Raw genomic sequence first — 16,003 nt, 5'->3', positions numbered from 1 at the left:
TACAAAAATTAGCCGGGCGTGGTGGCAGGCACGTGTAGTCCCAGCTATTCAGGAGGCTGAGGCAAGGGAATCGCTTGAACCCAGGAGGCAGAGGTTGCAGTGAGCCGAGATCACCACATTGCCCTCCAGCCTGGGTGACAGAGCGAGACTCTGTCTCAAAAAAAAAAAAAAGAAAAGAAATACATAATAAGCATACCAATCCATTGACAAGATATTTTAAAATGTAGGCTCGATCAAATTTTTGTTTTTAAAGGATGCATGAGCCTGGCCAACATGGTGAAACCTTGTATCTACTAAAAACACAAAAGTGAGTCGGCCGTGGTGGCACGCGCCTGTAATCCCAGCTACTTGGAAGGCTGAGGCAGAAGAATCGCTTGAACCCTGAAGGCGGAGGTTGCAGTGAGCCGAGATCGAGCCACGGCACGGCACTCCAGCCTGGGTGACAGAGTAAACCCCTGTCTCAAAAACAACAACAAAATGGATGCATGCATGGAGGGCATGAAATATTTCCACTGTATTTCTGTTAATCCAACCTCAACCTCCATGAGTCCTCCACAAGGCCTACACTCAAATGATTATAAAGGGACTTCACTATTTGGAGCAGAGAATAGAAAGTAATGTCACAGAATGTGCAATGTAATATTTATCCCACGTAGTATAAACTATAGATGGGAGTGAACTCCACTCTGCCCCCTATCCCTCCACACTCAGCCCAAAGGGTGCTTCTGATGAACAGCTATCCAAAGCCTATATTTACTCCTTATTTTGTACAAAGGTCAAATGTAATTATTGCTAATAAAATGTTGGGGTTTTTTTAATCCCTAGGTTGTGATGACAAAAAAATTATTGCCTTGATAACATTCCAGTTTGTTTTTCTTGAAAAAGTCGATGAAGCAAAGAGGAAGTTACCTCTTAACTCATCTTTGATCAGTGCTACCGGTCATTTCAAGATCACTAGCTCAACCTTCCAGAAACGAACGGTTACGAAAGTATTCAAAGGGCGTCTCGGGCTTGGCACAAGTCCCTGTGCCAGGCAGGACGGAGATGGGGGTGTTCAGTCCCCAGTGTGCAAAGCACCCGACCGCGGGTCCGTCTCACAGGTTGGCGCCGCATGGGATAGCGGCTGGGCAGGCGCCCTCCGGCCCGTCCGCGGCCGTGGGGAGGATCTGCGCGGACATAGGACCTGGGGCAGTGACCTTAACAGCCCCTCCGCTGCCCAGGGGAGGCTTGGGATGGTCACGGGATTGGGATAGTGGCGTGACAGTCTCCAGGCGGCCCAGGGCGGACACCGCCCGGGGCAGTGGCCAGTCCGCCCCTCCGGGGCCCGGGAGAGGCTCAGCCGCGCGTGGGTCCGCCCTTCCCCCGGCGCCTCCAGCGACCCGCCCGCAGCGCATCTGGGGCCCGGCTCGGGCGATCGGCCAGCCCTACCTCTTCGGTGGCCGTGGGACAGTAGGAGATGAGCACGAGCGTGGTGACCACGTTGACGGCGAGCCCCAGCAGGGTGATGGAGTTGGGGGCCATCCAGAGCGGGATCCACTGGAGCAGCCAGGTCCAGTAGAGCTGCAGCGGCGGCTCGAGCAGCGAGACGCCCGCCGCGCTGTAGCGGTGCTCCTCCAGTCGCCGCAGCTGCGCCGCGCTCAGCGGCTCGCTCAGCGCCCTCAGCCAGCGCGGCGCGGACCCGGCCCCGGCGCCTGCCGCCATGGCCGCCTGAGGGCCCCGCCGCCGCCACCGAGCGCAGCCCGCGCCTGGCGCTGGGGGCAGGGAGAGGTGGAGGGAGAGGCTGGCGGCCGGGTCCTGCGACTGCCGGGCTGGACTCACCGGTCGGGCCCGCACGGCGGAGGTCGAGGTCAGGCCGGCCTGCCCGGCTGCCGGGGCCCCAGCCCCAGAAGCTGTGGGGCCGCGGCTGCGGCTCGCGGGTGGGGCGGGGCCTCGGGGAGGGGTCCGGCTGGGGGCGGGGCGGAGGGGGTCCTGCTAGGGGCGGGGAGGCGGGTGCCGCGCTCGCGGGTCACCCTCGGCGCCCGCCAACGGCAACTTGTTATCGGCGATCAAGGTCCTTGACTCCCCAGGGGCCGGCTGCACTGCGCCTGAGGTCTGATGTCTTAACCCACGGCGTCGGATTACGCCCTGAGGTCGTCTCCTCGCGGGCTGCACCACGACCGAGCCGGTTCCTCTCCTAGGGGTCGGAACACGACTCCGGTCGCCCAGTGTTAGCCACTGCAGGACCACGCTGCCCGCAGAGCCTGGGGGTTTTCGTGTGAGAACACAGTTTTGCAGGGCTCGGGTCACGGGGGTGACGGCCCCATCTGTCCTGCTTGGTAAAACACACAAGCACAATTCTCCCTTTCTGTACGGAGGAAGGCGGCCCTGCCATGTATTCGCTCTAGAGACCCATCACTGCGGATTCAGAGACCAAGGTTTTGAAACTGAAAATCAGGGCTTAGAAACACTAACAAGGAGACCGAATGGCTGAAACCCCGATACCTATTTTCTTCAGCGCATTTGATACCAACAAGGGTGAATATTTTTACACATACTCTTCCCTGGAATAAAGGGCAGGAGTGTCCTCCCCCTGCAAGGGGGAACAGGCTGGCTTGCCACACGCATTGGTAGGTCACCGGCCCCTTATCTCACAGTGCACTCACTTGGACAGGGGACATCTGTCATAAACACGTTCTGTTGCACAACCTGAGACAGGCCTGTCACTTGCTTTGCTCTTCACTTCATGGCTCTGATCTGCACGCACTTTCTAAGGCCTAGGACAAGCCAGAAATTGCTTCCAAGACACTTGTGTGGCGCAACCTCTATCGGCAAGTGCAGTTTGCCTCACGGGCTTCGTCAAACACTTGGCACAGGGGTCCACGAACTGCTGCCTGTGTGCCAGACCCAGCCCACCACCTGTTTTCCTACAGCCCTCCAGCTAAGTATGGTTTTGACATTTTTAAATGATTGGAAAAAATCAAAAGAATACAATTTTGTGTTGTGAAATTATATGAAATTCAAAGTTCAGTGCCACGAATAAAGCCATGTTTATTCCTTACCTATTGTTTGGCTGCCTTCATGCTACAAGGGCAGCAGAATTCAGTTGTGACAGACCGTATGGCTGGCAAAGCCTGGACTATGTCCTACTAGGCCCTTTAAGGAAAAAACTGGCAACCACTGCCTTAGAGCAATGAGGGTCTCTACAGACCAAGCGTATATGTCTTAGGAATATGGATCTCCTCATCTTTAGTGTGAAAAACGATGCTGACAAATGCAGGAAAGGAAATGGAATGATGGAGATCCACTTTTAACAATGCTGGTTTATGTGCAGTGAACTTGACAGTAACTACTTTTTAATTTACCGATGCCATGAACAGTCCAAGGAAAAAATCCTTTTCTAGATTAGCCGATTTCACTGTATTAAAGATAATTTTTAATGTACATCAAAAGACGTCATCAAGAGAATGAAAAGACAAGCCATAAACTGGGAAAAGGTATTTCCCTCAAAACCCACAATGAGTAGAACCCAGATTATGTAAAGAACTCCTAAAAATCAATCAGAATAAAAAATAATCAACTGGGCTATGTTCTGTTTCTATAGGAGAAGCCCTGGAACATGGTAATGTTCCAGGGTGCACTTATGAACATGAGTGAATTGCACAAGCATATGTTGACTGAAAAAAAAAAAGAAGCAGGTGTATTAGTCAGCTTGGATTGTCATAACAAAATACCACAGACTGAATAGCTTAGACAACAGGAATTTATTTCTCTCTCACATAAAAGAAGTACAGAATTGGCACTCCAAGACTGGTACGATGTTTCCATGGTCATCAGGAACTCAGGCTTTTCTGTCTCTCTGCTCCAATATCCTCTCTGACTTGTATCTATAAGGCCATCTCATGATTCAGAATGGCTGGTGAAGCTCCAGTCATCTTATTTGTGTTTCAAGCAGCAGGAAGGAGTAAGAGGACAGGAAAAACAAAAAGTAGATATCACTGGCTGGTGAGCAAACTGGGGTGCCTCTCCAAAACTCCCAAACAACACTTCTCCATACAGTAGTCTCCCTTTGTCCCTGGTTTTACTTTTCTGCAGTTTTAGATACCCACAGTCAACCACAGTCCAAAAATATTAAATAGAAAATTCCAGAAATAAAGTGTGAGTTTTAAATTGCATGCCATTCTGAGTAGCGTGATGAAATCTCACCCAGTCCCACTCTTCTCCACTCAGGACTTACATCATCTCTTTGTCCAGTGTATCCCTGCTATATAAGCCACCTGTCCTTTATTCATTTATTAGCCATCTTGGTTATTAGAAACAACATAGTACATATAGGGTTCGGCATTATCCATAGTTTCAGGCAACAGTTGTGGGTCTTGGAATATGTCTCTGGAGATAAGGGGACTGTTGTATTATGTATCTCATTGGCCAGAACTTAATTATGTGGCGTACCCAAGTGGAAGTGTTTGCTAGGAAGAGTAGATGGTTACAACCACTTGAAAAACAACCTGGCATGATCTGGTGAAGTTGAAGATGTGTGTACTCTGACACCACAATTCTGATCCAGAAACAGATCCTAAAGAAATTCTTGCACATGTATCCTAGGAGATAAGTATAAGAATACTCATGACACCTTTGTCTGTACAATAACTAAAAGCTGTAAATAACTTATATGTCCACTAATATTGAATGGGTAAATAAACTGGTATTTTCAAGTAATTTAATATTATATAGCAAGTTTAATATGGCAGTAAAAAATTAATGAACTATAGGTACACTTATGAACATGAATGAATTGCACAAGCATATGTTGAGTGAAAAAAAAAAGCAGATGTATTAGTCAGCTTGGATTGTCATAATAAAATACCGTAGACTGAATAGTTTAAACAACAGGAATTTATTTCTCACAGTTCTGGAGGCTGGGAAGTCCAAAGTCAAAGTGTGTTTCTTAGTGAGAACTCTCTTCCTGGCTTGCAGATGGCCACCTTCTATGTCTTCACATGACAGACAGAGAGAGAAAGAGAGGAAGCTCTCTGGTGTCTCCTTATAAAGTCCTTATAAAGGCACTAATCCCATCATGAAGGCCCCACCCTCATGATATCCAATATCCTAAAGGCTCCATCTCCAAATACCATCACATTGTGGAGGATTACGGCTTCAACATATGAATTGGGGGTGGAGCAGGGGCAGGATACCATTCTGTCCATAACAGCAGGCCATAGGCAAAATACACACAGTATTATTTTACTTATATAAACTTCAAAAACATGTGACTGCACTTTGCAGCTCCCATGTGGCAAAGCTATGAAGAAAAGGAAAAGAATTATAAGTACAATCCTGATAGTGGTTACTCCTGATAGAAAGGAAGGTAAATGCAATTATAGAGGGGCACATGGCAAGTTTCAAAGGTATTGGTAATTTTTTAGACTACAGCTGGGCAAACTACAGCAACCTAAATGGAATAGAGGTTTATTTTTCCCACATTGATGTCTGGGTAGGCATGGTAGGGCTACATGGCAGCTCGATGGTGTCAGAGACACAGACTTCTTCCATTTTATTAGTCTGCCGCCTTTCAGATGTTGCCCTTGTCCTTGTGATCAAAAATGGCTGGCCATGACTCCCAACCAATAGGAAGGGGAAAAAGAGAAGGGGCTGCTATGCTCCTTTCTTCTGAAGGCCATGATCAAAGGTTGCACACATCACTTCTGCTCTCATCCCATTGGCCAGAGCCTGGCCACATGGCTGCTATGCCTAACTGTAAAAGAGCCTGCAAATGCAATCTTTAGCCAGACAGCCACCTGCCCAGCTAAAATTTCTTTTACTTGTTTATTTATTTATTTATTTATTTAGAGACAGATTCTTGCTCTGTCACCCAGGCTGGAGTGCAGTGGCGCAATCTGAACTCACTGCAACCTCTTCCCAGGTTCAAGTGATTCACCTGCCTCAGCATCCTGAGTAGCTGAGACTATAGGCATGTGCCACCACACCCAGCTAATTTTTGTATTTTTAGTAGAGATGGGGTTTCGCCATGTTGGCCAGGCTGGTCTCAAATGCCTGACCCCAAATGATCCTCCCGCTTTGACCTCCTAAAATGCTGGGACTACAGGTGTGAGCCACCACAATCGGCCAAAACATTTCTATTATTATTGAAAAGTGAGAGAGTGGGTATTGTGGGGGGCCATCAAGCTGTCTCAATCACAGTTTTTTAACTGAGTAGTAGTAACATGTTCATTTTACTATTATTTATGCAATCTATGTAACTATATATCTACATAGATATAGATGGCATATTTGTATATTTTGCAAATATGAAATGTCATAATTTAAAAATAGTGAAAGTAGGCTGGGCGCGGTGGCTCACGCCTGTAATCCCAGCACCTTGGGAGGCCAAGGCGGGTGGATCACGAGGTCAGGAGATCGAGACCATCCTGGCTAACACGGTGAAGCCCTGTCTCTACTAAAAATACAAAAAATTAGCCGCGCGTGGTGGTGGGCACCTGTAGTCCCAGCTACTCGGGAGGCTGAGGCAGGAGAATGGAGTGAACCTGGGAGGCGGAGGTGGCAGTGAGCTGAGATCGCGCCACTGCACTCTAGCCTGGGCGACAGAGCAAGACTCCGTCTCAAAAAAAAAAAAAAAAAGTGAAGGTAATAAATATAGAAACCATTTTTAAACTACTCATCATGCTCTAAATTGATTTTCCCATGTGCTTCTTTGCTGAATTTTTGGAAATTTCAAATTAATTCAAGACATACTAAAGCCATGTTTATTTCTTCTACCTTACCCCACTCTAACATACTCTAATGTCAAAAAAGTATATTAGAGATTTCCTATTATTTTATTTCTTGAATCATGGCTCCCCTCCATTTTCATGGTTTGTTACATAGTGATTGATATATACAATGTTTCCCCCTTATCTTAACATAGTAGCTCACATTTATGAGTTTCTATCCTATGCCAAGCACTGTTCTAAACATCAGGAGTTATTTCACTTACTCCTCACAAACACTCTATGAAGTAGACCATTGTTATCCCCATTTTATGGATAAGGAAATTGAAGCACAGTGAGGTTCAAAAACTTACCCATGGCTGCACAGCTAGTATAGTGGTAAAGCCAGGATTCAAGCCCGTGTAGTCTGATTTCAGAGCTTATGTTCCCAACGACTGCAAAATGCCACCTAATAACTTACATGTATTAAATATAGGACTTTAGTGGGTACTTTTGTCAATATGGAACAGTCCAGTTTCTATATATCATGTTGGTTTTGTGCCATTCCAGTCCATTCTAAATATTATGAAAAAAATTATTGTACTAAATTTACTAAAACTAATAAAATATTCCCTTGTTCAGAAGCCTTTGATAAAGTCCAACTTCCCTCACTTGGCATTTGAGGGCCCGGTCTACCTTCCTAGTCTTACCTCCCTAATATCTCTTCCCCAATTCTCCTCCCTAAGTCTCATGCTCCAGCTGTGTGGGCCCATTGGCTGTCCCCAAACCCACTCTCATTTGTTCCCTGTTGGGGAGTACCCTCGATCCCTTATTATTCCTAGCACACTGCCCATCACTCAGATTCCACACTTAAATTCTGCCTTCTCTAAAATGACCTCTCAGATTCTTCCAGTTTGATCCCTCTTACTCCCACACAACCAGAGCACTTTGTACCTTGTAATGCAGACTATCTTTGTTCAGTTATTTGTGTATTGATCAGCCTCCTTGCCCAGGTCATAGAGTGTCAGACCAAGCCTGCACTGAGTGTGCTCCTCAATGCCTGGCATCCAGTAGACATCCATCATTTAAAAAATATGTATTTTAAAATGATTACAGACACACAGGAAGTTGCAAAAATAGTACAAAGAATCCCTTGTATGCCCTTCACACAGCCTCCTCCTATGGTAACATCTTACATTTCCATAGCACAATAGGGATGCATAAATGTTTATCTGATGGTTTAACTAAATTGTATTCCTTTCCCAAAGGAGAAAGAACATCTTGATTTAGGCTCTCAGTTTTACTACTAGTTCTTTTGTGTAACTTTCACTCATATTTCAAATCTTCCTTAACATCCTCAATCTCTAGGCCAACCTTCCACAAAATATTAAATCATGTCATATAGGCAGATTAGGCACTGTTGTGTGTGAAATAACCAGTTGGAAGCCCATGGACTTTCATTGGTTTGGAAGAAAGAGTGGGTTGCAATAAGAAATCACCTGGCTAGAGGCCGGGTGCAGTGGCTCACACCTGTAATCCCAGCACTTTCGGAGGCTGAGGCAGGCAGATCACTTGAGGCCAGGAGTTTGAGACTAGCCTGGCCAAAACGGTGAAGCCCAGTCGCTACTAAAAATACAAAAATTAGCCATGCATGGTGGCATGCACCTGCAATCCCAGCTACTCAGGAGGCTGAGGCAGGAGAATTGCTTGAACCCAGGAGGCGGAAGATACAGTGAGCCCAGATCATGCCACTGCACTCCAGCATGGGCAACAGAGTGAGACCCTGTCTAAAATAAATAAATAAATAAGTAAATAAATCACCTGGCTAGGCTTGCATTGCAGTAGAGTTTTATCATCAGGGTGTCAAGCTATCTGTGTGAGAATTCTGAGCTTTAGCTACACAGGCTGGGGTATTTGTGATAAGCATAGTTTTATGGTATAATACTTGCTTTACTTGCTTGGGTTTTATACTTTTATAGTTTCGTACTTTGAGACTCTAAAGTCTAAATTTTATGGAACTATGGTACTTTACAAAATACATGGGTAGGTAGTCAGTGTTCAGTAATAGATTGACTAAAACCTTTGCTCTCCTCTCTAAAAATGCTTAATTTCCTGGACAAGATCAGAAAACAAAATTTCGCAATACAGTCCCTAAGATGTTATAATTGTGCCCTTTATCTGAAATTGCAAAAGCAATTTAGGGTTAAGAGAACTGATTTCCTTCAGAGACACGGTTCTTAGCATTGGGTCTTGTTTATACCCTTTAATCATTTTTTATTTATAATCTTTTTCTGAGTTTATCTTCTACTGCTCTAAAATGCTTTCTATGGTATTGTTTGAGAAGCATTAGAGGGAACATCCTTTCTCAAAAATTCCTTTTTCAGGAACCCAGACATCCCACATTGAGTTAGTCTTTGAGTTAGGGCTTTTAGGAGTAACAGGTTAAGTTATATTTAGACATTAGGCTAGGTCATTATCAGCAATATCTGGGAGGGGATACATTTATCAGGATGTTTTTCCTCTGGGACAGCTAAGAGAGAATGCCTCCAAATAATAGCTAAGCAAGGAACAAGACAGAGAGAGTCTGGAGCATGGCCTCTCCAACATGAATGAGCACACAAATCACTGGGGATCCTGTTAAAATGCAGATTCCGAACTTAAGGATCTGGGGCAGGGCTAGAAAGTTTTCATTTCTTTTTTTTTTTAGATGGAGTCTCACTCTTGCTGCTCAAGCTGGAGTGCAATGGCACGATCTTGGCTCACTGCAAACTCCGCCTCCCGGGTTCAAGTGATTCTTCTGCCTCAGCCTCCCGAGTAGCTGGGATTACAGGCACGCGCCACCACGCCTGGCTAATTTTTGTAATTTTAGTAGAGACGGGTTTTCGCCATGTTGGCCAGGCTGGTCTCCAACTTCTGACCTCAGGTGATCCACCTGCCTCGGCCTCCCAAAGTGCTGGGATTACAGGCGTGAGCCACCGCGCCCGGCAGAGAGTTTTCATTTCTCAGAAGCTCCCAGGTGGTCAGCTGAGTAAGCTGAGTCCCAGGTGGTCAGCTGAGTAAGGAGGGACTTGCACACAGTCTTAGGAGGCTTGGGTGGAGGAACCACTCTGAGCTCTCTGGCTCTCAGGCCTTCAACTACACCTCCAGCCTTCCTAGGTTTTGTGGGCAGCAAATCATGGGATGTCTCAGCTTCCATAATTCCATGATGAATACCTTATAATTAATCTCTTTCTAGATTTTTTGTTCTTTTTCTTTCCTCTTTTCCCTTTCCATTCCCTCCCCTTTCCTTCCTTCCGTCTCTCTTCTTTGCTTCCTCTCCTACTCGCTGTTCCTCTGAAGAACCCTAATATAACAGTCAAGTTACAGCCTTGAAGACTGAAAGACCCCAGGTCCACGCTTGTCAGGGATGTTTCAGAGTCACCTGTCCTTGAGTGAACCATACTGGGTTTGACCATTAAACTAAAAGAACTGCTTTTGCTTGTTCTATGGGTGACTTTTTTATAAAGTGTAATACAATGACAGGCATCTCTGCAGTCACCAGTGTAGATTGAAGACCAGAGGCCTTTCCTTCTCTCCATTTTCTGGGCACCAAGAAAGATTCCTGTTGACTCTGGAATCTGAATCCCCAAACAGAACAGAGAATTTCTCAATCTCCCTAGCTAGTGGAGAGCTCAGAGTTACATTTAATCTGATTTAGAAAAGTGAAGTAATATGGTAAGTCCTGTTCTCCATCCTAGCATGATACACACATTGACAATAACGAATACATAAACCACACTATCCAGCTTCTGCATTGTTATAGTGCTCTCTTATACCTGCATCCTGCCTTGTTTATATGTTCCCTCTGTATACTAGTCTTATACATTATAAATTACTTGAAGGCACGAAGTACCTCTTTTTTTTTCTTTTTCTTTTTTTTTTTTTTTGAGATACGGTCTGGCTCTGTTGTCCAGGCTGGGAGTGCAGTGGTGCGATCTCAGCTCATTGCAATCTCCACCTCCTGGGTTTAAGCTATTCTCATATATCAGCCTTCTGAGTAGCTGGGACTACAGGTGCGTGCTACCACACCTGGATAATTTTTTGTAGAGATGGGGTTTTGTTATCTTGCCCAGGCTAGCCTTGAACTCCTGCACTCAAGTGATCTGCCTGCCTTGGTCTCCCAAAGTGCCGGGATTACAGACGTCAGCCACCACACCCAGCCTCAAGTACCTTTATTTATCAAGTTGCAAGCTAAATCCATTACAGTGCCATGCAGATATCAGACATTCAATAACTCATTTGTTGAGCTGAATAGTGCTTCAGAATTATTCTAAAAATGAATGGTTAAGGGCATATTACCTTGTTCCAATGTCTCTTAGAATTAATTTTTTTCTACTTTGATATTAATTTAGATGAGAACATTCATTAAGCCTTCTTTTAAGGTAAATAAAGAAACGTGAACCTTAAAAAAAATTTTTTTTTGAGACAGGGTCTCACTTTGTTGCCCAGGCTGGAGTACAGTGGTGCAATCTTTGCTCACTGCAACCTCCACCTCCCGGGTTCAAGCTATTCTTGTGCCTCAGCTTCCCAAGTAGCTGAGACTACAGTTGTGTGCCACCACGCCCAACTAATTTTTATATTTTTAGTAGAGACAAGGCTTCACCATGCTGCATAGCTGCTCTCGAACTCCCGGCCTCAAGTGATCTGCCCGCCTCGGCCTCTAAAAGTGCTGGGATTACAGGCATGAGCCACCGTGCCCAGCCTAAAATTTTTAATGAATGTTTAGTTCCCCAAAAGAATTTTTGGTAAATTCCTGTGATACGTAATTTTTTAATAGAGTGAAATTTAAACAAAATTATAGAAAAACCAATAGTAATGATAGCTTCTGATATTTTTTGCTCTTTGCAGTTTCACAATAGACTTTTTCTTCCTTATTAGAACTTTGCAGTGTATGTGTACCCTTAATATAAGGAAAGATTATATGTAGAAAAGTAACATTATCTAGTACAAAATATAATTAAAGAGCCTAAGTCATAAGTGGGGAACCAAAATTCAGCAGGGAGGTTTTACAGTCTCTTTTAGGCTATGTAAAACCATACACGTATAAGCAGCCTAACTAGCTTGGCCAATGTCTTGGCCAAAGTGCTCAGAGTATTTGAGTTAAGCAGCCAGCTCGGCTGCTGCACTATGGCTAAGACCCAGCAGCTGGGCTGCAGGGACCACGTTGACTGGGTTTGCCACATTGTCATTTCTTTGGTTTGTACATAGACATAAGGTTTTCATGTCTTTATAGATGAGCCAGACTTCCTTTATGTTAAAATACCTTAACCAATACTGTGCACGTAGCTTTCTTGATTAAAATTGGAGTTTACCACGTATGTTTATTGCGGCACTACTCACAATAGCAAAGACTTGGAACGCCCAACAATGATAGACTGGATTAAGAAAATGTGGCACATATACACCATGGAATACTATGCAGCCATAAAAAATGATGAGTTCATGTCATTTGTAGGGACATGGATGAAGCTGGAAACCATCATTCTCAGCAAACTATTGCAAGGACAAAAAAACAAACACCGCATGTTCTCACTCATAGGTGGGAGCTGAACAATGAGAACACTTGGACACAGGAAGGGGAACATCACACACCAGGGCCTGTTGTGGGGTGGGGGGAGCGGGGAGGGATAGCATTAGGCGATATACCTAATGTAAATGATGAGTTAATGGGTGCAGCACACCAACATGGCACATGTATACGTATGCAACAAACCTGCACGTTGCGCACATGTACCCTAGAACTTAGAGTATAATAAAAATATATATATATATAAAAACAATGGGTTATAGCAATAAAAATAAAATAAAATAAAATTGGTGTTTACACAGGGATTGCACACAATATTATTCTGGAGTTTTTGGGAGCATAGGAGCAGGGGTGATAGCCAATGTTCTTAACAACCAGTAAGGCAACATCACCAACCAATTTCAACAGAGATATATAGAGCCAACATAGTTTGGACATAAACTAGACTTTCTTTTGTTCTCAAATGTACTGCAACGACCTGAATCATTCACCCTTCCCTTTACGAGCCCAACATCAACCCAGATCCATGACCACCATAGAACTTCCCAGCTAAAATCTGGAAAGAAAAAAGAGCAGATATGTTTAAAATGTCATCCAAAGAAGCCATGGGCCCACCAACAAGTCACAATATATTTAGCTCCTGCAACAAAAGACCAAAAAGAAAAACAGAGGGGAGGCGAGGGAATAAACAGTAATGCTGTGGTACCTTACAGTTCGATTCTACTCCCTTAACTGAAACTTTATATCAGGAAGAGTAAAGGAAGTTGCTGAAAATATTATGGGTTAGTATAAATGTTTCTCAGCTGCTAGATTTTTTAATAAAGGTTTCCATCAAATTGAATGGATACCATCAGCAAACCCTAACTCTGTAATAGGTCTGTTGTCTGTAACAGCCCTCTGTCACTATGACTAGCTGTTTTGGCAGAAGCTCTGGCAGATTTGGCCAAGATGCCTTGCTAGAGACACAGGGAGGGCAGACCTGGGTTCAGGGGCATGCTGGCTCCCAGCCTTTAGCCTCAGTTTTGTGTCTCGGCATACAACCCTAAATGCATGAATGCATATTGTATCATTTCATCACAAACACTTCAGATTTGTTGTACCATCCCTTCTACTGAGAAAATTTGTTTGAAAGTTAGACTTTTAAAAATGTTTTATTGCATTCAAATAAGAAGAAAAAGGCACAGATCCTGGTGTGAAGCAGGCCTGTATGACATCAACAACTCCGCTTTGGTTAGAAAAATCTACTAGATCAAGAGAAAGATGGGTTTTCAAGATCCAGTCGTGGTGCATTGTGTTATGTTTTTTACTCTGAGAGGAAAAAAAAAGCATTTATAGCCTACTATGTAAACAAAAATAACTGCTTTTGCTTATTCTATGACTTGCATTTTTGTAAAGTATAATACAGTGAGCAGAGATAATAATGACCAAAGTGCTGACTTCAAATGAGATTTTGTTTGCAATTTTTAATTAAGCAATCTGGGCAAACTTTTTTTTTTTTTTTTCTCTTCAACATTAGGAGGAAAGAAAAAGACCACACTTGGGGGCCTGGTGGGAAAACAGAAAATGCTTTTTCTCATTTCAACCAGATTTCAAAGCAGCAGAGTGCAGAGAGACAGTAGCCAGGCCCTCCCTCAGTATTCCTCAGGATTGCTTGAGTGTAAGTCTCGCAGATACGAATCAATTATGTTTGGAGGTACGCCTTGCAAGAGGAGTCTGCAGAAGGAGAGCCCACCTAGAGAGGACCAAAAGGAAAACAGACAAATCAAAACCATCTACCTGAAAAATCGCTGAAACAATACTTCTTGACTAGCTGCCTGGAAATGTGACTAATCATGTTCCCATTAGTTACAAAGATTCATTCAGTCTCTACTTGGAAAATCTTCTCCTGGATTTAGTACATTTAGAATTTAAAGCACTTGGCATCTAGAAGGAAAAGCAAGTTCCCAGTAGAACCACAGCAGTTTTTCCCCTACTATTGTTCAATCTTCATTTAAATTCCCAAGTGGTTGGAAAGTATTTATTGCTCTTTGAGAGGTTTTGTGATTCCTCATAGATGATTTAAATGTTCTGACTGAACAGCAGAATAAATGCATACCACATTATGGATCAGTGGGAAGATCTGCTTCCAGTTTGTTAATGTTCTTTTTAATTAGGCACAGAGAGTTTCGATTCAAGCACATTAGAAAAGATAAAAACTACTCCCTTTAACTTTGGTCATTTATGCATGTCAAAAGCACAAAAATTGGAAATATTTTGTTAAAATTATAATAATAAGACCGGTCCAATACTTTCTGAAGGTGCGAGAAACACCTACCAATATTTCATACCTACCTTCTGAGTTTCTGAATTATATTAAAAAAATAAAAGTACCCTTCAAGAGAGAATCCATGAAACCACAAAAATTCATGGTCCTTTAGTGAAGTGCTTTACTACTTGCTAATAAATTCACGTCCAGACAAAGCAGCATGCCATTTGAACATTCTTAAAAACTTCTTTAATGCAAATTTGAGAAAGTCATTCTCCTTTTTTTAAAAAAACAACTCAAGTCACATATTGGTAGAAATGATGCCACTTATGTACATGTCCATTCCTTGATGCAAATAATTCAGAATGCTTGGGTATCACCCATTTTTGTCTACATTAAATGCTTTCATTCATGCTCTACTGCATTCAACAACTTGCTTCATGTCAGTAGGAGACTGCTGTGATGGATAAGTACTAGCTGTTAATTTCAAGATAGTGAAATACAAATTAAAACTACAAAGTTAGGGATTTAAAATAAGTCTATTTTCATTGGATTATGTAATGAAAATCATGCCATACTCCACAGGCTTGGTATGGCTTATGACAGTCATAAGCTTCATATGCCAAAACCATATGAAAGCTTACCTTAGATGATATTATACATTCAAAAATCCTTATTGTGCAATGACTAAGGAAAAGAGAAAGAGGGAGAGAGAGAGAAGTCGTAAGCATTAATAAAGTGCTAACACCAAACTTGAGTACTTGTTGGATGAAATTATGGTCATGATTATGAAGAGGTGATTTCATTAATCCTTAGTCATGTAAAAGATGTAGGAAAATAGAAGCACATGAAATGAAGGGTGGGGATCCAGTCACGTCAAAAGGATCATTAATATGTAAAACATTTATTAATATGCACAACTACTTTGCCTGAATAGGTGGCAAAGTCATTCTGATTGTATAGTGAATATCTATGGTAAGAGCTTCCAAACCATTAGCTTAAAACAAATACAAAAACCAAAACCCTACAACATATATATATCGTGTTTTTCAACAAAAGAAAAACATAGACAATAGACAAAGTGTTAGTGTACATATATATATGTTGAAATTCTAAAAGGCAAAATTATCAAGTACAAATATTAGACTAGTGTATTCTATAATATTGTATTCTGCATGGAATATATATGACTGATCTAAATAGACACAAAACCTTATGTTACAAAGCTATTCTATATACAATCTACAAAGCTTTCAAAAAAGAACCTTACTTTTTTCCTCTTTTGAAAGCTGTTATTATCTCTGGAAACTCACAAAACAAATATTGTAAACTCAGGCATAGATCTACATTATCAGGGTTTTTATCAGGTTGCATACCCAGCTGCAAAAAACTCTTAATTTGCAATTCCAAATGGGGGTGAATCACATATATATGATAGTACTCATTTATTGCTTGATACATTTTGTAATAGAGCCTGGAATTTTCTTTCCTTTTAAGTTCATAAACGTG

General features: G+C 42.9%; 2 protein-coding genes across 35 annotated transcripts in view, besides 3 other annotated features; both read right to left on the bottom strand.

Annotated features, from left to right (window-relative positions):
- CHPT1 (choline phosphotransferase 1) overlaps positions 1-1,923 on the bottom strand; it is a 31,435-nt gene extending 29,512 nt beyond the window's left edge. For all 4 annotated transcript variants that reach the window (XR_245946.3, XR_001748818.2, NM_020244.3 and 1 more), the window contains exon 1: positions 1,429-1,923. Coding sequence is in view for 2 of the 4 variants with exons in the window: in NM_020244.3 (NP_064629.2) it covers positions 1,429-1,701 (273 nt within the window). In the remaining 2 variants the exon portion in view is untranslated. The remainder of the gene's footprint in view (positions 1-1,428) is intronic.
- Positions 1,190-1,379: a silencer, noted in NCBI's record as "silent region_4770". NCBI's record gives its function as "represses an Ori minimal core promoter by ATAC-STARR-seq in GM12878 lymphoblastoid cells {active_cell/tissue: GM12878}" and the evidence as "EXISTENCE:reporter gene assay evidence [ECO:0000049][PMID:35858748]".
- Positions 1,640-1,979: a silencer, noted in NCBI's record as "silent region_4769". NCBI's record gives its function as "represses an Ori minimal core promoter by ATAC-STARR-seq in GM12878 lymphoblastoid cells {active_cell/tissue: GM12878}" and the evidence as "EXISTENCE:reporter gene assay evidence [ECO:0000049][PMID:35858748]".
- Positions 2,200-2,449: an enhancer, noted in NCBI's record as "active region_6864". NCBI's record gives its function as "activates an Ori minimal core promoter by ATAC-STARR-seq in GM12878 lymphoblastoid cells {active_cell/tissue: GM12878}" and the evidence as "EXISTENCE:reporter gene assay evidence [ECO:0000049][PMID:35858748]".
- MYBPC1 (myosin binding protein C1) overlaps positions 3,722-16,003 on the bottom strand; it is a 100,871-nt gene continuing 88,589 nt past the window's right edge. For 11 of the 31 annotated variants that reach the window (NM_206819.4, NM_206820.4, NM_001254719.3 and 8 more), the window contains 2 exons: positions 15,139-15,181; positions 13,693-13,981 (listed from right to left, as the gene is read on the bottom strand). In NM_206819.4, the coding sequence (NP_996555.1) occupies positions 15,168-15,181 (14 nt within the window). In that variant the 3' untranslated portion in view covers positions 13,693-13,981; positions 15,139-15,167. Of the gene's footprint in view, positions 3,912-13,534; positions 13,982-15,138; positions 15,182-16,003 lie in introns of those variants that run through there. The other 20 variants (XM_006719405.5, XM_017019315.3, XM_006719407.4 and 17 more) reach the window with 4 other exon arrangements.

Source organism: Homo sapiens, chromosome 12 (assembly GCF_000001405.40).
Source record: "Homo sapiens chromosome 12, GRCh38.p14 Primary Assembly".
Lineage (NCBI taxonomy): Eukaryota > Metazoa > Chordata > Mammalia > Primates > Hominidae > Homo > Homo sapiens.
The sequence above is the reverse complement of the archived record's forward strand: the minus strand, read 5'-3'. Positions and strand labels throughout refer to the sequence as shown.